Here is a 24,521-nt window from a genome sequence, read left to right as displayed (position 1 = left end):
ATTTCCCTAATCATTGTATGGGCTTCTTGAATACAGGGAGAGTGTCTTCAACTTCTTCAATATGCTTTTCATAACCCAAAGCATGGCATCAGATTTATATCAGGCCTGATATAATTAAAGTATTTAGCAATGATTAGATAATTTTTATTAGCTATTTGATAAGAAAGATTTTTAATTGCCTGGTGGCCAGTATGTCTAGTTGAGTTGAGACTGCAGCATCTCCTTGGTCCTCTGTATGGTCATAAGTCTCCCTTTTAGGGTTGTTATCCAGGAAAGGATGATATCCTAACACCTAGCATTTAGATTTGCTGGGCTAATCCCATGCTCTCTCTTGTAAGCCAACAGTAAAGGGGTCCTTGACAAGACCTTGATGTGTTTGCAAGGGTCTGGGCCCAGCGCCAAAACCTGTAGGATTTCCCAAGTTACCTGCTCTTTGTTTAATTATACATGACTTGTTAAGAATTAGCAACTCTAAAGTAGGCTGTGCTGTTTAAAAATTAAAAAACAAAATCAGTTACCTGTGAGGCCACATGAAACAAACAAACCTTTGGAAATAAGGCTGTTGTTCAACTCAATGAGCTACATGTTATATTTTGTTTATCTGAACTATGCTGGTAAGGAGACATATGTTTAGTGCTACATATGCATTATATGATGGAATATTATGCAAATATTAAATATGTTATTAAATACTATATTTGTTGGTGGAATTTGAAAAATAAATGTATTGCCTGGTCCATGTTCTCTGAGAGCTCAAAGTTTATTTCTGATATATATATATTATGATATATATATTTCTGATATATATATATTATGATATATATATTTCTGATATATATATAAATATATATATAGAGAGAGAGAGAGAGTGGGGGTACACAATTATAATACGGGGTTAAAGAATGGAGGAAGGAAATAAGTTAAATAGTGCATGATAGAAACCTAACCCAGACTCATGGTAATCGGGGTAACAAGGAATAAAGAAGGCTTTACAGAGAGTTCACAGATGATACTTCAAGGATAAGAAAAATTTAATTGCGTAAAGAGGAACTAAGGAGATGTCTTGCCATTTTTATTTTCTGGGAGTAGAAAGTGCAAAGATCATGAAACGAGGTGAAAAGAATGACACAGTTGAGGAAGTGCAAATGGTCAGTATGGCTGGAGCCACAAGAAGGAGGAGCAAGTGGTGATGGAGAAAAGGATAGAAATAAGGAGTCAAGACCCTGAAGGGTCTTCTATGCTTCTAAGTAATTGCCACATCAGCTCTCTTGGGTGACATCATTTTGGTCCTCAACAAATATTTAATACATTGACTACATAAAGACTTACATCCACACACAGGTAGCCAGAATGTTTTCTGTCATCTAAAAATATTTAAATAACTTTTCACTATATTCAATATATATTTGTTTTTATCATTTATTACTTATGTATTTACTGATCTTAAAACTATTGGAGTGACGGGAAGAGGAGGTTATTCCAATAGGAAATGCTAACACCATGGACTGAGATGGAAAATACAAACCATGTGAATAATGCCTTTTCTATTTTGAGAGTAGAATTTTATTTTATTTTTTTATACTTTAAGAAAACATACTTGAAAAGTGGAAAGAAGAGAGAATGACATAGCAGAACTCGTTTGGTAAGAGGGAAAAAAACCCTTTCATTACATTAAGTTTCTAAATCAAGAACTCACAATTTTCTCCTGGGTTTCTAAATTTAGTAACATTCCATTCTTAATATCCCTGCCTTGTTCAAAACAAGCACCACTATTTCATATTTTATGAGCACATGCTCTTCTCATAGTCTATTTACAGTAATATATGTCATAAGGCAGAATCATTCTCAGACACATGCTAAGACAATTTTCCTTCATATTTGCCATCTCAAATATTTCAAATTTAAACATTCAGGTACACTGTGAAATAAGTTTTGAATCCATCAGACAAATACAACTTCATTTTCCTTGTGGCATTAAACCTAAGGAAAAAATAGGAATAAGTAACAATAATGCAATATGAATATTATAGTATCTGAATTACTCCATCAAATTAAGCGACTTTAACTAGTATAAAAAATTCAGAAAGCAGCATACAACCTATAATATTTCACAGTAGCTATTACTATGGAAATATTAGCATGGACAAATGGCATTTCAACTAGAGCTTCACTGACCAAAAATGCTCGAAGGATAATGTAATTTTTTTAAAAAAAGATGTGTTATAAGCTGTATATATTAACATTCTTTGGCCCAATAATTCCACTGCTTCTTAAAAGAACTCCAAATGTGGGAGTAAAGCATCTGGCTGTCCCCTTTGCTTGGAATGTTCTTCATCAAGAGATACAGTTGATTGCTTCTTTATTTCTCTTCTGTCATTATTTAAATGTCATATTCTCAATTATACTTTGCGTGGCCACTGATTTAAAATTGCAGCCCATTCCTTCCCCCTTCTTTGCTTTATTTTTCTACGTGCAACCTGTCACTATCAAGCATGCCATTTAAATTAATTGTTTTGTTTACTGTTTGTCTCCTATCAGGATGTAAATCATATGAAGGCAAGAACCTGTGTCTATTTGCTTCACTGGCCTATCTCCAGCATCTAGAACAGTACATGGCAAATGATAGGCACTCAGTACGTATTTGCTTAGTTAGTAAATAAATATATTTTTCATAGAGATGTTCATTACGATTTTTATATTTAAGTGGCAAAAAATCAAAATCATCTTAAATGCGTAACAATTAAGATGCGGTTATATAAACTAAATAATCATTATATGATGGAATATTATGCAGATATTAAATATGTTTATAAATATTTATAAAACACAGAGAAATAATTATATTAAAATGTTATGAGAAAAAATATTCCCCAAGTTTGCATAGAATACCAGCACAACTACATTAAAACAAGTAGAGAAAACAACACACAGAAAGATTTAAAATGGAAGCAGACATTGTTTTGGAATGGCTGTAATTGACAGACATTTGTTTTTCTCCACTGCTTCTATTTTAAAGTTTAGATAATTAGCACAGTATATGCACAGAGGAACATTAAATCACAAGAAAATACCTTAAAATGTAATTTGTAGGTTTATCGAGAACATTGTCCTTGAGTATGATTTTGCTTACAGTAAAGAATGGTGGAATTATTTCCAAAAATCTGTAAGTCTGTCTAATAGAAAGTGATGGTGAATAAAGTAATTCTTATAATTAAACATAAGCCTATTACATCTTGCCTAAGGAAACATCCATTGCTATGTTTGAAACAATCAAATGAAAAATAGTCTGCTCTGCAGTTTCATATGGTTAAGGAAAATGTAGTGGTTACACATCCTGGGTATCCGTTCAATAGTTAATTTATGATAGCGTTTCATCTTCCCATAGTGAATTCTGAAAAGCCTAATGAAGCAATACGTGAACTGACAGTTGATTTGTAAAACAAATGCAATTTTAATCTTTGCTTAAGTGCTTAAGTAGGTACTTTAAAGTCACCTAATTTGAGAGCTCTTAATAAGAATGATGAAAACAGTACCTTACTTTTCAATGCACGGTCTTTTCCCACCAAGATATTCTGACATGTAAAATCCCTACATTTTTGAGATAAGACACTTACTACCTTACACCTCACTGGGAATCTGAAGTGGTAGTGTAGTTTTCTGTTTTTTGTATAATTATTGCTATATACGCAGGCTTAGATTTATTCACCAAAAAATAGCTGGCCAGTAACCAAGTCGGCAGTGATTCATTTCTAGTCAAAGATCAATGCTCAATATAATACATTCCATTTAATAAATGTTCCAAATATATTATCTTGGCATACAGACACTGTAAATATTCTCATAGCTGCATTATAAATAGCTTTGTGGGACAAAGGTCAAATCCGAGCCATGAATGCCGTATTGAGTCATTGTTAGTGAGAGACCCTATTACTCAATCCTAGATTAGCGTGAATGGCTAAACAGAATAACTGGAAGGAGTCTCCTCAACACGCTTAAGGCTTTGTGTTGTGGAGGCGTGGGCATGAAGACGTGGGGGTATATGGGTATACGGACCTCCATTGCCACCTTATATCTAAAAGGTGTACTAGGAATAGGTGGGAGAATCTGACTATGTTAGTAGTAGGGGAGGAGGAAAAATGAGATTTAAAGAGGAAGAGAGGAAGGGAGAGAGGGAGCCAAACACTAAGAGACGAATGGATGTTAACTAATCAAAGCTTAACTATGTAGTCAGGGTATACCAGAATGTCCAAGCAATTCAGGGGTAAAATTTAATTTAATTTTCTCCTCATCATAAAACTTCAACTTTATTTATTATTAGATGTCTTTGCCTTCAGTATCCAAGTCAGTATCTTTAATTTTAGCCATTTTACCTAAGGAGGAAATGACATCTTTGCAGTTTTCAGGAAAATGACTATACTATAAATTGGGATTTGCTTATACAATGAAATAACATTAAAAAGTCCATACCCTTTCAGGGCCCACTGATGTTTGTGTATTTACCCTGATAGAAAAAGACATCCAAGAATCCTAGAATTAAAGTACCTTTTTGGGGGCTACTAGTGTAACAAGCATTGATATGAGTAGAGTTCAATGGTACAAGAGCACTACCCCTTAGTTCCATTTAACACGAAACGGAGATTATATAGGTTATGCACAATAAAGAGGAGATTTGGAGAAAAGTTTTTTGAAGCAAGTATGTATTTGTAAATGATACTAAATATTGAACTCAGATCCAGCAAAATTATGAAGCTGTTGTTAAGAGACCTCTTGAATACTCAAGCTGGTGATTAAGCCTTTAGCTAATGACTTGCTTCTAGACTGTGTTACTGGAAGTCCCAGTTGTGCCTTTCAGGCCTCTTCAGAGCTGTTCAGGAAAAAAGGAGGGGGAGCTGAAATGCTGATCAGCTCTTTTCCTTGTTCTTAGAAGTGCTGATGGAAGATTGGAAGAGAGAAGATAACTGGAATGATTACTTCTAATGTTGTTTGACATCATTCAATGCATGTCAGTCCCTAGAGTACTGCAGATAAAGGATGCCTGACAGGTAGATACAAGATGATGGTCTTTAAGAGACCTTCTCTTGGCTTTTCAGAAAGATGCTGAGCCAAGTCTGCATAAGTACCTGAAAAAGCCTCCGCTCCTTTAAGTAGTAAATGAATCCTCAGACACTTGTGTTCCTGAAAGCTTTGAGTTGTGCAATGTTCTGGTGTATCTTAGTCCCAAGATTAGCTGGATTATTAAGTATGTTTCAAAGGATGCTAATTTTCTAAAAACAGTAGATATTAAAACAAACCAAGGAGGCTGGGCACAGTGGCTCATGCCTGTAATCCTGGCACTTTGGGAGGCTAAGGGGGGAGGATCACTTGAGCTCAGGAAACTAGCCTAGGCAAAATGGGGAAACCCCATCTACAAAAAAACAACAAAATTAGCCAGGCGTGATGGCACATGCCTGTAATCCCAGCTACTTGGGAGGCTGAGGTAGGAGCATCACCCTGGGAGATTGAGGCTGCAGTGAGCTGTGATTGTGCCACTGCACTCCAGCCTGCATGACAGAGTGAGACCTTGTCTCAAACAAACAAACAACAAACAAAAACAAAAACAAATACTGAGGAAATACAGGCTTGATGACCTTGAACATGCCACCTCAAGATACGCTGCTTTGTTATATTGATTATTTATAGCTGAAGGTATTTGAGAAACAGCAGGTGCAGGAAAGTTTCCCTGACCCTCTTCTAAATGCAAATCATAAAATTTCCCATGAGACAGGTGCTTTCCCCATATCAGAAAGAAAAGAACATTCTTATCACTGAAGACTGGGAGTTGAAGCTGAGATGAATCTGGACAAACCAATCTACTAAAACAACTCATCCTCCATTAATTTCCCCCATATATTTCCTAGTCACTGCCCCACAATTTACTTCCCCTGTCTTGTCACATCCTCACAATGTTTAACACATTTTTAAAAAAGCTATTTAAGCTTTGGGGCCTAACAGCTTATTTGGATTTTTATTTTCTTTATGAAGACTCCTGTGTGTATGGAAAAATATTTAATAAAATTTGTATGCTTTTTTGCCCTGTTAGTCTGTCTTACATTAGTTTAATTCTCAGCCACAGAATCTAAGAAGATAGAAGGAAGATTTTCCTCCCCTACATTATCGACAATAATCATCATTATTGATTGAACAGTGAGTGAGCTGATTTCTTGATATAATTACCTCACCAAATTCTCACAATAATGCTACTTCTTTGCCCATTTACAAATGAAACATTCAGGGTTTTAGCTCTAGCTTCGTCAGTAATTAACCAGATCTTGTATCAACTTCTTACTTTCCCTCCCTTTCTCCTTATGTATACAAATATATACCTGCCCTAATTATGTCACTAAAGTTAATACTAAAAATTAAATGATGTTCAGAAATAAAGATTCTGAGATAGAAAAATTTGGGTATTTGTAAGTTAATAGAAGTATTGGTTAATAAAGCATTTTAAGCAAAAGGAGAAAAAATAATTACAAACAATGAAAATGTGTATATATGCTTATAAGAAATGCTGCACCAATGGGAATTCTGCTCATTTGTTTAATTTTTACTCCATTTGCAAATATGTAAATTGGTATTACAAGCACAAATGCTATACCAAATAATAGTAATGCCGATTGGTGAGTTAAAGTCAAACCCATGTGTTTCTAAAGTATCTCCCATGGTTGGTATTGCTCCTCTGAGAATCGGCAAACTAGAACTACTCAAGTGGATGTAGGAAATAACCTCAAAATACAGCATTGAATATAAATGCCAAATATGTATGGAGTATTTTGAGTTATAATGATTGGGAACATTACTGGTGTGTAGTGGGCAAGGACGTGAGATGTTCTGGCCTGGACAGGATAATCTACCCAATGTGATAGCCCTTTACTCCACAAGACTTTCAACTGTTTGGGCAGAAAAATGTGGGATCTCCTTTATTTTAAATAATGAAGAAATACATGAGAGAAAAAAATCCATGATTCTATTGAAAAACCATTAGGAAAACTTAATTTCATGACTTCTTTTTCTTGTTGTTTTTCCCCACTCAAATGTTTCTCCTGTTATTATTTATTTATTTTGATTTCATCACTATCTCACTCCAGGTCTGAGCACAGGAATTGTTAGAATACTACATATAGGGATAAGGGCCAACAAATTTGCCAGAAGACTCAGTTTCCTCATTTTTTCTATTTTCATAGACTGAAATTTGTCTTAGCATGCTATCCTTACCTGAGTTAGCTATTTCCCAATTTCTGTTGTCATATATTAATGTCTGCTTAAATGAATACTCATCATAATACTAGTTCTTATTCTATGTCCACTTGTACCTCTACTCTTTTAATTTGCCTGTACTTCCTCAATGGAATTATTGTAAATCCAAGTTTGTTCATTATAACTAACTGCAAGTATTTATCTCATTATGCATTTTAGTATCCTAACGCTACAGCCCTTATGAATTGAAATACACAAGAAATTATTATAAATGATTTCTTTTATGTTGTCTCTGATATTACAGTATCAGAGATATATAAAATTGTATCAATTTTATTTTTAAGATGACTAGGTAGAGAATAAGAAGGCATTATAAAATATTTGTTATGGAAAAGGCAATGTTGGGTTAGAAAACATTGTCCTAGACCAGGGGTTGGCAAACTTTTTGTTTAAAGGACTGATTGTGAAGATTTTAGGCTCTGTTGGCCACAGTCTCTGTTGCAACCACTCAACTCTGCTGATATAGTGGGAATGCAACAATAAAACATATACAAAAGAATATGAGTAATTGTGTTAACGATAACTTTTATCTATAAAAACAGGGAGAAAGATTTGGCCTCTGACACTTGGTTTGCCAATCCCTGCTCTATATTCTTTTTTCTCTACTGTGTAGTTTTTCATTATATACATCCACCCATCCACCACACTTGATTTATACTCTACTATTCGGTGAATATAGACTTTGTTTCCATTATTTTGCTCCTGCAAACAATAACCCAGCAAACCTTTTGCACATGTCTGCAAGTGATTCTCCACCTAAAAAAGAATAAATGCTGAATCCTAGGGTATGTGCATTTCAAATTTGATTGAGTCTTGCCACATTGTTCTTATTTTCATTTGCTATCTAGGGTATAATTTCTGTCCTTATCTTTATGACCTCCTTTAGGCTTTTGCTCATGCTTTTTAAAAATTCTGGAGTAATCACTTAACTCTTATATGTATGTTTTTTACTCTAATTTTGTTTATTCTCTATTTGGCATTACAGTTATACTGCTCAAAACTCAAAAGTTCACAGAAGGTATCCAGTAAAATCTTCCCTTTTCTGTGCTCAGTACCTTGTGGTTCTCTCTGGAAGCAAAGAAGCTCAGCAATATCTTATTTAAATCTCCAAAGACAACCTAAGCATTGTCAAGTAAATATACACACACATACTCTTTCCCCACCCCTTTTGTATATAAACGTTAGCATACTATATATACACAACTAATCTTGCTTATTTCATTTCACAATATGTCTTGGAAATTATAATAAATGCATAAATTGGCAACATCTAGAGGCAATTTTGATTGTCACAACTGGGCAGTGGGTGCTACTGGCATTTAGTGGGTAGAGATCAGAGATGTTGCTAAACATCTTGCAATATACAGGGCAGCCTCCATAACTAACGATTATCCAGCCCCAAACTTCAGTCGTCCCACGGTTGAGGAATTCTACTTAAACGATATTGTATCAGGTGTCGATCACGTTTTTCAAATCTCCTATAGTCTAAAAATATTGATGTGCTAGTTTATCAGTTTCTGATACTGCGTGTTATTATAGCTATTTTTATTTTCTAAAATAAGTTTCTCTTTCTCTATGTATATACACATGCACACACAACACACATATATATATAAGTACATATATTTATTATGGTTATATCTTCTTAATAGTTTCTTTTATTAACATATAATATTACTTACTAGCCCTATTAGTATCTTCGTCTTAAATTTTATATCTCAGCTATTTATATTCTTGCACCTCTTTTCTTTTGGTTAGTATTTACATAACAGATCTTTTTTCCAATTCCTCTAGTAATTTTGTATTAGATTTAATTCTATAACTGGCATATTTTTGAATTTAAAAAATCCATTGACTATCACTTATTTTAGCATGTGAGTTACTACCCATTAAGTGTTTACATTTGAATATTTGTCATATATCTTGATTTACTGCTGTTATTTTTCATCTTCTAATCCCCATATTTGTCTTCCTCATTTGTTTTTCTCCTTTCCTTTTCCTTGTGGATTAGTAATATTTCATATTTCCTTAGGTTTTTTTTTCTGGTTGTTTTGAAATCACTGGGTCCATTAATATTTTTGTTTTATTTTTGCACAGTTCCTTTAAAAATTTTAATACACACAACTAATTACAAAGTTTTCTAACAATATTTCCTGGGTTCTAATGTATTTACTCTGGACATGTTAAAAGGTGACACACTGCTTTTTAGCCACCTACCATCACCTCCATATGGTCATCACTGTTTAGAATTTTGGTTTCTATGTATTTAAAAAACATAAAACACCTTAATATATTTTCAGTCAATAGTTAATTAAATTTATCAACATGTTTTAGCAGTATCTGTTATAACTTGTTTTTATTTAGTCCATTGAAACAATATTGTTTATTTTCACCCAATGGTTAATCTAATTTGTCAACATATTTTATCAATTTTCATTTCAAATTTTGTTTTATCTTGGATCCACTCCTTCCTTCTGGCTTCACTTTTCTTCCTGCTAAAGAACATATTTTAGTAGTTCTTTCAGTGAGAATCTGTGGGTGGTACAATAGTTTTATTTTTTGTGAAAATATCTTCATTGTGTACCCTTTCCTCAAGAAGAATGAACCAAGAGAAAGAAATGAAAGAAAAAAGAGAAAGAAAAGAAAGGAAGGGAGAGGAAGGAAGGGAGGAGAAAGAGAGAAGAAGGAAAAAAAGAGAGAGAGAAAGAAAGAAAGAATGAAAGAAAGAAAGAGAAGGAAAGAGAAAGAGAAAGAAAAAAGAAGGAAGGAAGGAAGGAAGGAAGAAAAGGAAGGAAGAAAGGAAGGAAGGAAGGCCGGCCAGTATTTTTTTCTAGTAAGCCAGATATTGTTCATTGCCTTTTGGCCTCTACTGTTGCTGAGAAATCTGACTTCAGTCTAATTATTATACCTTGGTAAGTAAATTTTCTCTTTCAGAAGGCTTTGAAGATTTTCTTTTTAATCCTTTATAATCTGCACAGTAACATGTTTAGGTATGGAGTATATGTATTTTTTATCCCATTCAGTTCCTAAAGTGCCCTTTTGGACTCAGGATTTATATATATATATTCCTTCTATTATGAAAGCTTCTCAGCTTTATCCCTTTATTTATATATTCCCCATTACGCTATCCTGTTTTTTCAGATGTCCTGTTAAATAACTCAGTGATTTTTTGACTAAGGTAAATATAAACAAAGCATACTTGCATATCATGTTACTTTTGACACTTAGCTTTCTGAAGAGTTCTTAGAGAGACCAAAGCAATCAGAGATACAACTTTATGGCATAATCTATGACTCTCAGTCTTTGTGGTTATAATAGTAGATAGTAAGAATGTGCAAATCACTTCTTAGTCTCACAGTAAAATGACAAGATGTAAAAAAGGACATTCTATTTCCTTTGAAAGAATATAACTTAGAGCCTTTGAAATGGCCCAGTAAAAGGGGCCGCAAACAATCAAGTGATTTTTTTTTTGTATTTTTAGAATGATATGATGATTAGTAACAAAATACTCAGTTAACAGTGGCTCCAATAATAGGAACATTTTATATCATCCAAAAAGGAGTCTGGAGATGCAATGTCTCAGCTTTCTGCTTGGCCATCCACATTTTCTTTGCCATATCTCTCTGAATGATAACAAGACAGCTGCAGTGGTTTCAAACACCATCTCCTTCTATCTACACATCCCAGTGGAAATGAAGGAATGGGGATGCAAATATTTTTCCCTTACATGTGTTTCTTTTTTTTTATCAGGGAAAAGAATTATTTCCAAGAAGCTCCCCTCTCCCCACCAAAACAATCTCTTTATATCCTGTTGGATAGACTTGGTCACATACTGATCTTCACACCAGGAAGTGAGATAAAGGGAATGAAATTAGCAATGGTTTAGAACAGTCATAATTTATTCCCTGAATCTGGGCATACTGCTGCCTACAAAAAATTGCTTTTTTTTAAATTTTTCAGTAAGAAAATGGGAGCGATAACTGTTGAACCTATGGATACACAGCAGTTTTCACCACCAAGATTACAAATTCAAATTATTAATTTCCATATTCGTGGAAGAAAGAAAAGGAGGTGGTCTTTCTTTTTCTCATTTTCTGCCTCATTGCCATAAATAAAGAAAAGCAAGTTGAGTGAAATTTTTTCAGAAAATAGAATCATATTAACTGTAAACTCAAGCAAAAAACCTGATCCAACAACCAGAAGGCCTGAGTCTGCCATCAGTTAGTTATAGGGCCTTGGGCAAATCACTAATGCACAGTTCTCCAACTGTGGTGTAAGAAAGATTGGATTCGATTAATGCTATTCAGTCACTTCTCATTTTAAGTTTCTATAAGGCTTTGAATCAGCAGCTTAATTAAATAGGATGATTTTCAAACTAAAGGTAACTATATAGCCAAACTTTGTAACTAACAGGCAACCTTGCACCATGTTGATCCCAAATAATTAATGTGGCTTACAAAAGAATTTAATTTAAGAGTAAGAGTACAGCCTAGTAGAGATTCACCATTCATATTTAAGTTTTGACTAGCATAATTACAATCAGACACTTTCTTTATGGTAAATCTACATGGGAAGAATGTTTTTGAGTCTATCTCCCCAAAAGAGCATTACTAAGTGGTCTGGGGAAGAATGAGTTCTGAGGTAAAAATAAATTTGAGAGATGCTGGATTAATCATATTTAAATAAATTTCTTTATCATTAAATTTCTCAGAAGACCTACAGTGCCAAAGTGTATTGTGACTCTCCAAAAGAGATATATCATCTCCCAAAATTGACTGTGGGTCCTTTCTTCATGAAACATTTATTTCTCAATTTAAAATAATCATATTGCCTTATACTTTTGTATGGAGTTTACGTGAATACCAAAATATTTTTTAAAACATCATCTTGTAGTTCTATGAACACCTATCCTTCCTAGACCCTTTTTGTACTACTTTTTAACAATTGTGCCCTAATTGATTATAAGATGCCAAATTAATACTACTACTCCAGAAATAGAAAATAAACAGTATGTTAAATATACATGTAAATTTTACCACACATATTGATTTAGTAAATATATATATATATTTTATTATACTTTAAGTTCTAGGGTACATGTGCATAATGTGCAGGTTTGTTACATATGTATACATGCGCCATGTTGGTGTGCTGCACCCATTAACTCATCATTTACATTAGGTATATCTCCTAATGCTATCCCTCTCACCTAACCCCACTGCACGACAGGCCCTGGTGTGTGATGTTCCCCACCCTGTGTCCAAGTATTCTCATTGTTCAATTGCCACCTACGAGTGAGAACATGGGATGTTTGGTTTTCTATCCTTGCAACAGTTTGCTCAGAATGATGGTTTCTAGCTTCATCCATGTCCCTACAAAGGACATGAACTCATCCTTTTTTATGGCTGCATACTATTCCATGTTGTATATGTGCCACATTTTCTTAATCCAGTCTATCATTGATGGACATTTGGGTTGGTTCCAAGTCTTTGCTATTGTGAATAGTGCTGCAATAAACATATGTGTGCATGTGTCTTTATAGCAGCATGATTTATAATCCTTTGGTTATATACCCAGTAATGGGATGGCTGGGTCAAATGGTATTTCTAGTTCTAGATCCTTGAGGAATCACCATACTGTCTTCCACAATGGGTGAACTAGTTTACAGTCCCACCAACAGTGTAAAAGTGTTCCTATTTCTCCACATCCTCTCTAGCACCTGTTGTTTCTTGACTTTTTAATGATCGCCATTCTAACTGGTGTGAGATGGTACCTCATTGTGGTTTTGATTTGCATTTCTCTGATGTCCAGTGATGATGAGCATTTTTTCATGTGTCTGTTGGCTGCATAAATGTCTTCTTTTGAGAAGTGTCTGTTCATATCCTTTGCCCACTTTTTGATGGGGTTGTTTGATTGTTTTCTTGTAAATTTGTTTGAGTTTCTTGTAGATTCTGGATATTAGCCCTTTGTCAGATGGGCAGATTGTAAAAACTTTCTCCCATTCTGTAGGTTGCCTATTCACTCTGATGGTAGTTTCTTTTGCAGTGCAGAAGCTCTTTAGTTTAATTAAATCCCATTTGTCAATTTTGGCTTTTGTTGCCATTGCTTTTGGTGTTTTAGACATGAAGTCCTTGCACATGCCTATGTCCTGAATGGTATTGCCTAGGTTTTCTTCTAGGGTTTTTATGGTTTTAGGTCTAACATTTAAATCTTTAATCCATCTTGAATTAATTTTTGTATAAGGTGTAAGGAAGGGATCCAGTTTCAGCTTTCTACATATTGCTAGCCAGTTTTCTCAGCACCATTTATTAAATAGGGAATCCTTTCCCCATTGCTTGTTTTTCTCAGGTTTGTCAAAGATCAGATGGTTGTACATGTGTGGTATTATTTCTGAGGGCTCTGTTCTGTTCCATTGGTCTATATCTCTGTTTTGGTACCAGTACCATGCTGTTTTGGTTACTGTAGCCTTGTAGTATAGTTTGAAGTCAGGTAGCGTGATACCTCCAGCTTTCTTCTTTTGGCTTAGGACTGACTTGGCAATGCGGGCTCTTTTTTGGTTCCATATGAACTTTAAAGTAGTTTTTTCCAATTCTGTGAAGAAAGTCACTGGTAGCTTGATGGGGATAGCATTGAGTCTATAAATTACCTTGGGCAGTATGGCCATTTTCACGATATTGATTCTTCCTATCCATGAGCATGGAATGTTCTTCCATTTGTTTGTGTCCTCTTTTACTTCGATGAGCAGTGGTTTGTAGTTCTCCTTGAAGAGGTCTTTCACATCCCTTGTAAGTTGGATTCCTAGGTATTTTACTGTCTTTGAAGCCATTGTGAATGGGAGTTCACTCATGATTTGGCTCTCTGTCTGTTATTGGTGTATAGGAATGCTTGTGATTTTTGCACATTGATTTTGTATTCTGAGACTTTGCTGAAGTTGCTTATCAGCTTAACGAGATTTTGGGCTGAGACAATGGGGTTTTCTAAGTATACAATCATGTCACCTGCAAACAGAGACAATTTGACTTTCTCTTTTCCTAACTGAATACCCTTTATTTCTTTCTCCTGCCTGATTGCCCTGGCCAGAACTTCCATCACTATGTTGAATAGGAGTGGTGAGAGAGGGCATCCTTGTCTTGTGCTAGTTTTCAAAGGGAATGCTTCCAGTGTTTGCCCATTCAGTATGATATTGGCTGTGGGTCTGTCATAAATAGCGCTTATTATTTTGAGATACGTCCCATCAATACCTAGTTTATTGAGAGTTGTTAGCATGGAGGGCTGCTGAATTTTGTCGAAGGCCTTTTCTGCATCTATTGAGATAATCATGTGGTTTTTGTCTTTGGTTCTGTTTCTATGATGGATTATGTTTCTTGATTTGCATATGTTGAACAAGCCTTGCATCCCAGAGATGAAGCCAACTTGATCGTGGTGGATAAGCTTTTTGATGTGCTGCTGGATTTGGTTTGCCAGTACTTTATTGAGGATTTTTGCATTGATGTGCATCAGGGATATTGATCTAAAATTCTCTTTTTTTGTTTTGTCTCTGCCAGGCTTTGATATCAGGATGATGCTGACCTCATAAAATGAGTAAGGGAGGATTCCCTCTTTTGCTGTTGATTTGAATAGTTTCAGAAGGAATGGTACCAGCTCCTCTTTGTACCTCTGGTAGAATTCGGCTGTGAATCCATCTGTCCTGGACTTTTTTTGGTTGATAGGCTATTAATTATTGCCTTAATTTCATAGCCTGTTATTGGTCTATTCAGGGATTCAACTTCTTCCTGGTTTAGCCTTGGGAGGGTGTATGTGTCGAGGAATTTATCCATTTCTTCTAGATTTTCTAGTTTATTTGAGTACAGGTGTTTATAGTATTCTCTGATGGTAGTTTGTATATCTGTGGGATTGGAGATGATATCCCCTTTATCATTTTTATTGCGACTATTCAATTCTTCTCTCTTTTCTTCTTTATTAGTCTTGCTAGTGGTCTATCAATTTTGTTGATCTTTTAAAAAAAAACAGCTCCTGGATTCATTGATTTTTTGAAGGTTTTTTTGTGTCTCTATCTCCTTTAGCTCTGCTCTGATTTTAGTTATTTCTTGCCATCTGCTAGCTTTTGAATGTGTTTGCTCTTGCTTCTCTAGTTCTTTTAATTTTGATGTTAGGGTGTCAATTTTAGATCTTTCCTGCTTTCTCTTGTGGGCATTTAGTGCTATAAATTTCCCTCTACACACTGCTTTAAATGTGTCCCAGAGATTCTGGTATGTTGTGTCTTTGTTCTCACTGGTTTCAAAGAACATCTTTATTTCTGCCTTCATTTCGTTATGTATCCAGTAGTCATTCAGGAGCACATTGTTCAGTTTCCATGTAGTCGAGTGGTTTTGAGTGAGGTTCTTAATCCTGAGTTCTAGTTTGATTGCACTGTGGTCTGAGAGACACTTTTTTATAATTTCTGTTCTTTTGCATTTGCTGAGGAGTGCTTTACTTCCAACTATGTGGTCAATTTTGGTATAATTGCGATGTGGTGCTGAGAAGAATGTATATTCTGTTGATTTGGGGTGGAGAGTTCTGTAGATGTCTATTAGGTCCGCTTGGTGCAGAGCTGAGTTCAATTCCTGGATATCCTTGTTAACTTTCTGTCTTGTTGATCTGTCTAATATTGACAGTGGGGTGTTAAAGTCTCCCATTATTATTCTGTGGGAGTCTAAGTCTCTTTGTATGTCTCTAAGGACTTGCTTTGTGAATCTGGATGCTCATGTATTGTGTGCATATATGTTTAGGATAATTAGCTCTTCTTGTTGAATTGATCCCTTTACCATTATGTAATGGCCTTGTCTCTTTTGATCTTTGTTGGTTTAAAGTCTGTTTTATCAGAGACTAGGATTCCAACCCCTGCTTTTTTTTGTTTTCCATTTGCTTGGTAGGTCTTCCTCCATCCCTTTATTTTGAGTCTATGTGTGTCTCTGAACATGAGATGGGTCTCCTGAATACAGCACACTGATGGGTCTTGACTCTTTATCCAATTTGCCAGTCTGTGTCTTTTAATTGGAGCATTTAGCCCATTTACATTTAAGGTTAATATTGTTATGTGTGAATTTGATCCTGTCATTATGATGTCAGCTGGTTATTTTGCTTGTTAGTTGACGCAGTTTCTTCCCAGCCTCGATGGTCTTTACAATCTGGCATATTTTTGCAGTGGCTGGTACCGGTTGTTCCTTTCCATGTTTAGTGCTTTCTTCAGGAGCTCTTGTAAGGCAGGCCTGGTGGTGACAAAAATCTCTCAGCATTTGCTTGTCTGTAAAGGATTTTATTTCTCCTTCACTTATGAAGCTTAGTTTGGCCGGATATAAAATTCTGGGTTGAAAATTCTTTTCCTTAAGAATGTTGAATATTGGTCCCCACTCTCTTCTGGCTTGTAGAGTTTCTGCCAAGAGATCCGCTGTTAGTCTGATGGGCTTCCCTTTGTGGGTAACCCGACCTTTCTCTCTGGTTGCCTTTAACATTTTTTCCTTCATTTCAACTTTGGTGAATCTGACAATTATGTGTCTTGGAGTTGCTCTTCTTGAGGTGTACGTCTGTGGCATTCTCTGTATTTCCTGAATTTGAATGTTGGCCTGCCTTGCTAGGTTGGGAAAGTTCTCCTGGATAATATCCTGAAGAGCATTTTACAACTTGGTTGCATTCTCCCTGTCACTTTGAGGTACACCAATCAGATGTAGATTTGGTCTTTTCACATAGTCCCATGTTTCTTGGAGGCTTTGTTCATTTCTTTTTAATCTTTTTTCTCTAAATTTCTCTTCTTGCTTCATTTCATTCATCTGATCTTCAGTCACTGATACCCCTTCTTCCACTTGATCGAATTGGCTACTGAAGCTTGTGCATGCGTCATATAGTTCTCATGCCATGGTTTTCAGCTCCATCAGGTCATTTAAGGTCTTCTCTATGCTGTTTATTCTAGTTAGCCATTCATCTAATCTTTTTTCAAGGTTTTTAGCTTCTTTGTGATGGGTTCAAACATCCTCCTTTAGCTTGGAGATGTTTGTTATTACCGATTGTCTGAAGCCGTCTTCTCTCAACTCGTCAAAGTCATTCTCCATCCAGCTTTGTTCCGTTGCTGGCAAGGAGGTGCGTTCCTTTGGAGGAGAAGAGGTGCTCTGATTTTTAGAATTTTCAGCTTTTCTGCTCTGGTTTCTCCCCATCTTTGTGTTTTTATCTACCTTTGGTCTCTGATGATGGTGACGTACAGATGGGGTTTTGGTGTGGATGTCCTTTCTGTTTGTTAGTTTTCCTTCTAACAGTCAGGACCCTCAGCTGCAGGTCTGTTGGAGTTTGCTGGAGGTCCACTCTAGACCCTGTTTGCCTAGGTATCACCAGCGGAGGCTGCAGAACAGCAAATATTGCAGAACAGCAAATGTTGCTGCCTGATCCTTCCTCTGGAAGCTTCGTCTCAGAGGGGCACCCAGCTGCATGAGGTGTCAGTTGGCCCCTACTGGGAAGTATCTCCCAGTTAGGCTACTCAGGGGTCAGGGACCCACTTGAGGAGGCAGTCTTTCCGTTCTCAGATCTCAAACTCCATGCTGGGAGAACCGCTCCTCTCTTCAAAGCTGTCAGACAGGGAAGTTTAAGTCTGCAGTAATTTAATAAATATTAAATGGTATGAACACTACCTTCACATTGTAAAGATACAATATTACAGGCAATATTACAGGCAACTATTTTGTCCCCAGTATTTTAACTTATTTCTCAATGATCACTTTTAGGCCACCTTTTTGAAATATTTTATAGAATAAAGGTTTAGGGAAACAGAGAAATATTAATTTAAGCCATTTTTCTAAATATGCTATAATAAATTGTAGATATGCTTAAACTCATTTAAAAGAAAGAGCAGGCAGATAACAGCAGGAAAGAATAGGAAAGTTTTTACTGCTTATAAAAATAAGTTGGTCAACAAGAGATTTCAGGCAGGAGTCACACTAGAACTGCTTGCAGACCAAAATTTCAAATCCTAAATCTTTGCAGAAAGTAAACACCAAAAAAATTGGAATGGGTTTTCATTCCTTTGCATGTAGCTAGTAAGGGATGGGTATTGCCTACTGGGAGAACCATCTTGCTGCTGAAGCACAGTCGAAATGACAGTAATAAAAAACACAGAAGAATTTAGGGGTTGCTATCAGGGGAGCAAATGAGTCTCCATTGGTTTAGTAGAGAAAAGCAGCCTTAAAACAAATAAACAAAAACTTTTAAAATATCTCCGTCAAAGGTATGAGTTTTTATGGGAGTAAGTCAGTCATCATCTGCTAATGAACATGTGGTAACAGAAGTGGCTTCTAAGGCCAAAGAATGTCAAATATCTAAGAACCAGGAAGAATGGAAAGGAAAGTTCAAGATATAACTTGACCTAATAACAAAGTTGTAAATAACAATAAGATGATGAAGTATTTGTTAAGCAGATACTTACATCTATTATTTCACAAAACCCTATGAAATCACTACTACAAAAAACGAAGGCTTAGCCATGTTGAGTGACTGCCCAAGTTCTTGAGAACTTTGACCAGGGCATGGGGAGTGTTTTTATGATGCTAATTTATGTGTGCATCATGGGTGGGTGGGAGGAGACTTCAAATGTTGGCAAAGTAAAAGGATACAAAACCACAGACACACCCAATCTGTCTACCATTTTCATTTTAAATTCTTGTTCAAACTGGAATGTTATTTTCCATTTAACCATTATTTAATAGATCCCTTTATGGTTACATCTTTCTAATAAAGGATAGCTATATTTTAAAATAAAAAAATTAAAAATAAAATTGCCGTCTGCCTAACTAGACAACATTGCCATCTAGTGGCCTAAACACACTATAGCTACCACTTCTGGGGTGACAGCAGAGGTCCTATCAAGGCTCTGAAGGGTGTGCCCAGTAGACACAATGTTAATAACGATGCCAAGCCATACCAAGAGCACACAAACTCATCCAAAGCAAACGTGCTGACATTCAACCAGAAAACGCACTCTAGCCTCAAAGATTTAACAGCTTCACTGAGAAAAAACCAAAAAAACACACAAAAAAACAACTACTACCACCATTGAACCAAGGTTTTGATGTGCCTCACTTAATTATTTATTTTTCTTTGAAATTTTAAGATCCATTTCTCACTCCTTTGTTCACCTACCTGCTTGAAAATGTTTCCAAACATCCTCTCATCTTTACAGTAAGAATATAGCCCTCTATCACCATGACCAAGGAAAGAAGCAGGTATCAGCTGCTAATGACAGTCAATAACTCAACAGGGAGTCAATCTGTGACTTACAGACCCGGAATCTGTCCTAGAATGAGCAAGCCAGAGCTAGGCTTTGGTCTAAACAAGATGAAGATTTAAGGGACAGGAAAATAGGAAAAGGCTTACAAGATTGGCACAGACGCAGCTTCAACTGAGGTACACAATATTCTAGTGATAAATTATCTTAACAAACATCCTTTGGGGCCTTTTCTTTAATTAAAATCAGATACTCACTGCTTCTCCAGATTTACTGCAAGGCTTATGTAACCCTTTGTTTCTGCAACCAGGTCATTTATTGAAACCATCAACATGCTGAAAGGGCACGGAAGGGCATGGAGAAAGAACACGTCAAGGAGTGGACCACTGTCACAACACCACTGGTGGGTTTTTGTCAAACCCATCTCTGACCCTACCAGTTTAAGATCATGAAGGATGTGAGAGTACAAACAAAACAGCTGTTAAATCTTTTTTAGCCCATTCTGGATGAAATAAGTATAGAAACACAGGAGATCAGTTTAGATCTGTTTGAATAAAGGGACAGGAAAAGTTGGAAGAGGCAATTTTCAGAAATCCAAATACAGTATGTGCTTCTCCAAAATTTGCAACAGAGGCTGAATCAAGCCCATGCAAATGGATCTTAGTTCAAATTCATGTCAGAAAAATCTGGAACACACTTCACTTCTCATATGCAAATATCGTAGGAAAGCAGCTGTTTGTTCTTACCTATAATAAAAAGAATCTCCACTGCAATGTCACTGACGGTTGTGCTCCGAGTTGTGGACAGGTCGTCATTGCCAATAAAGCAAACGTTGTAAGGTACAGTCACAGCAACATAAAACGTTGCCAACAAAATAAGCCAGTCCCAGCCAGCTTTAAAAGTGCTAAAATGCAGAAGTATGAATTTGGACTTTTTTGCATCAGAAACTTTATACTCCGGAAATGCTGGTTTATCTACAAAAACATTCTGTGGATGAAGACAAAAAGGAGAGAAAGGAGAAACACAACATTAGAAACAAGGATTACATAGCTTGAAACACACACTTTTGTGAGTAGGATCATTCACTACACAAAGCAGTATCTTACAAGTGACTTTTAAAAGTTGGTGACGCAAAGCATCTAAACATCTAAAACTGAGCAGAGATCTTTGTTATAAGGAACAGGAATATGCAGAGTTTAGTCATGAAGCTAAGTGAGTAACCCAGATTTTGTTCATTAAAAAATAAAAAAGACCATTACCTAAAATGTCATCAAAAAACATTCACAGTTACATGTAATTCTACACACATTATAAACACAAAGCTATATTTACATTCCTATTGTCATGAGAACATTCTGTATACTTGTAGATTTCTGATGACAGTCATTATCTAAAGACTATATTTGACCTGATATTTTACTGATGACAGCAATGGTGCTTTTCTTTCCAAAAAGAATAGATATATGACCAATATTATATTGTAAACAGTTTACATTTCTTTCCAAATATAGCCAAGTCGTGCTAACTACTTTCATTTTTTGCACTGTGGCTGTTGGTGAAGTTGGGAACCCAAATCTCGTTACCTTGACTGACACAGATGCACTCTGACATGGGCCAGACATTATTCAGATGGTAAAGTAAGAAACAGTTGCTTAAGAGTTATTAGTCAAGTCATGGGAGGAGAAAGCCAATGTTCACTGTGCAGCTGATTAAATGCAGAATAGCTGGAGTTTTTGATAACTGCAAAAGCACTTCACTTTGAATGCAGTTCAAATTGATGAACAATTCCCTTGTTGCTAGAAGACAAAGGGAGGCCCAACAATAGCATGTGTGGAAATTTGACAAGCCTGTGACCAGCTACTTGCAGACCTGGCTTTGACCTCAATTAATGGGAAATATAAGATAGGTAATGGAAACTTATATTTGAAAGTTTAGTTGAATTAACAGAGCAGTTATAAATTCCCGAATACATATTACTTGTAGGTCACAATGTTGTGTTCTTGTCTCACTCATTGAGGGAAGGGCAGATTAATGTGATGTGTTCAGGGATCCTGAAGTACCTGAGGATTCAAGAAAGGTTCAGAAAGATCAGGAACATTTAGCTCTAAGTGGTGACTGTCAGTGATTGAATAGTTCTGCTACCTTAATATTAACGCACCCCTGTCTGGCATTTCTCTTTGGTAGGTATTTTCAACCCATGTTTCTACTTCCTGTTAATATTCTCACTCAACCCACACAGGCATCTCATAATGTCAGTACTTCGTGGTGGGTCACTGTTAAACTACTTCCAGATGGTCCTTAAATGCCCATTTGCCACTGCATCTATGTTTCATACAATTCCCTCATATTTGTCCTGTCTCCTTTGTCTCATTCTCTGGTTTCAAGAAACCAGTTCCAAAGGTAGACTTTGGCATAAAACAGAGAAGGGGAGATGAAGTAGCCCCGTTGGGCTTCTCATAAAAATTCGGGCTGTTACATTGGAAGAGGGAATTAAGGTCTATAACCATTAATCTTCTCACCACTGATAAACACTTCAAGTTGTAATAACATGATTGGTTCTAATCCAAATTTTCCCTGAATATTTACTACAATAAAGAATTATCAGAAGCCATGGGAAATATCTCATTTTCTATCCACATAAGTTTTTTCTATCGTATTACAGAAATTAAAATTTTACATTGTTTGAGGGAACATCCATATCTAGGGTAATGATTTGGGAAAACTCAAAAGTGAAGTTTTTGTTTTTGTCTTTGATTATGCTGATTATATGAAGCATTAGTGATTCTGTCACAAAAGTTCAGCAATATATTAGTTTTCTGTACAAATCAGAAAATAAATCTCATGGTTTCATTTTGTAAGCTACTTAGAACATATTTTAAAAATATTTTAAAAAGATACTGAGAATTCAATACATTTGAGATTAGATTTAAATTTTGAAATGTTGTTAACTCAAATCCTGCAAACATCTTTACATAATCACCTGAGTGAAAAAAATAGATGCTTCTCTTCTTCCACCAGCTTTTGTAATGTTTTATCAAAATCCTTTTGAATGAAAAAAATTCTTAAAATTGTAAAAAAAAATGGTACACAATTGTAAAATTATGCTTTTTAGCAGGAAGTAGGGGGAAAGACATGTTATTTATAACTGTCAAACATGGAGTTTGCCTAGTCTAGACGTTAAGTTTATCTTATTTATTAATCTTCAAGCATATTTCTTTAGTACCAATGGTGTTTTAGATGTTTAACCTCCACCTATGAGTTATTGAAACATACTAGTTAACTCCAGTGCCTAATTAAGGTAATTGTTTCCTAAACTATTTTTGCAATAGTTCCTTTGAAACTATCATCTGAATGAGCAAGAGAATGTGAAAATGTTTCTACAGTCACTTCAGTGAGTAATCTAAACCCAGTGTATGCCTTTGCTGATCACCACTGTCCCCGCCAGAAAAATGCATTTGTAGCACTCTCCTTTCAAGTTTTCAAGGCTCTAGTGTGATCTTTAATATTTCTTTGTGTTGAAAACATTTGCATCATATCATTCTCATTTGATTGACAGAATAACAATCAAGGAAGGCAGAATTTGAAAACACCTTTTTCAAGGTATACCAGGCAAAGTTAGAGCCAGACTAAAATATGTTGCATCCTGATTCCCAAACCTGCTAATGACCTGACGAGTTCATTTGACTATGGCTGAAGCATATATTCCTGTTCCACAGAACTGTATCCGAGAAGCAGCAAGGTAAGAGTCAGAAGCACAGTGGCTTTGAATTAGAAGATTAAAGGTTGGGTACCACAACTGCTGCTTCTAATAAGTTGTGTTTTTTTCCATCATTAAAATGGGACTAATAAAAATCAGACCTAGTACTGGCTTGCTATAAGAATCAAATAATATGATGTAAGTAAAAGGAATTTGTAAATAGCAAAGGGCTATAAAATGTTAAGAATTATTTTTTGTGTGTGCAAATGTTATTACAGCCAGAATTTCCAGAAAATTTATTGTTTATTCAATAAACTATACAAGTCATTTCCTCTTCTCCCTTCTGCCTTCCTTCTATCTGCCATTTAGCCATTCTACTATGTTATCCTTGAAAGGAGATGGTGAACACGTGAACAGGGCAAGTCCTGATTCCATACTTTGCTTCAGGAATAAGATATTACCTGTAGTATTAGAGTCACTGGGCTGTTAGGCATCTTAAATTACTATGTATTATTTTAATGCTCTACTCTGATGTTTGTATTTCTTAAATGAATGGCAATTAAGCAAATTAGCTAAGTAGTGGGAGTTATAGTTTTTTTGAAATCAGATTTTTAAGTACTGCTTTGTACTTTGTTGAATCTAAAGGGAAAAATAGCATGCCCAGCAAATGCATTTTAAAGCTCACTAATACTTGCTATGTTTAAATTCTCCACTAAAAGCTAGACAGTGTCAGCTTTCAGCCTTACAGAATCTGTGGATAATATTTGTTTAGGTGCTTTGCTGGTTGATTTGCATGGAATCAAGCCCAGATGCGGTTACCTTTGTTTCTTCTTATAACTTGCTTATGTCACTAAGGCTGACTTGGTAACTGAAAGGGGATGTAAATAGGCACCAGTGGAAGGATCCATAGATCAAGTGGTGTGCACTGTTTCAAGCCTCTCCCTGGACTCCCAGGAAATCAATATAACACTAAGGCACAGGTATCCCTAGAGAAACTTTATATTGAATTAGGACCAAAAAAAAAAAAAATCAAAGCGTGACCACAGTGGTACATGGCACACCAGCACGGACATGGTTGATGGTCCTTGGAGGACAAATGATTCAAAACATCTTGTTTTGGCTTCCAGAAAGTTGCACTGAAGTACAGCCAGGTTTGCAGCACTTTCATGTCAGATCTCGTTCCTCACCCTGGGCTCATACATCTTTCTTTGTTCACTACAATCAGAAATGAATACTTCGTATGTCTGATGAATGGTCCTGTTTTATCAAAGCATGTGTATGTTGGAT

At 35.7% G+C, this 24,521-nt stretch overlaps 1 protein-coding gene across 6 annotated transcripts in view, besides 1 other annotated feature; it reads right to left on the bottom strand.

Annotated features, from left to right (window-relative positions):
* Nucleotides 1-24,521, bottom strand: part of KCNH8 (potassium voltage-gated channel subfamily H member 8) — a 387,133-nt gene that overhangs the window by 167,394 nt on the left and 195,218 nt on the right. For 5 of the 6 annotated variants that reach the window (XM_017005698.3, NM_144633.3, XM_017005700.3 and 2 more), the window contains one exon: nt 20,284-20,524. In XM_017005698.3, the coding sequence (XP_016861187.1) occupies nt 20,284-20,524 (241 nt within the window). Of the gene's footprint in view, nt 1-20,283; nt 20,525-21,514; nt 21,598-24,521 lie in introns of those variants that run through there. The other variant, XM_047447429.1, reaches the window with a different exon arrangement.
* Nucleotides 19,190-19,239: a silencer, noted in NCBI's record as "silent region_14130". NCBI's record gives its function as "represses an Ori minimal core promoter by ATAC-STARR-seq in GM12878 lymphoblastoid cells {active_cell/tissue: GM12878}" and the evidence as "EXISTENCE:reporter gene assay evidence [ECO:0000049][PMID:35858748]".

The sequence above is a fragment of the Homo sapiens genome, chromosome 3 (genome assembly GCF_000001405.40).
Source record: "Homo sapiens chromosome 3, GRCh38.p14 Primary Assembly".
NCBI lineage: Eukaryota > Metazoa > Chordata > Mammalia > Primates > Hominidae > Homo > Homo sapiens.
This window is presented reverse-complemented; position numbering and strand designations above follow the sequence as displayed.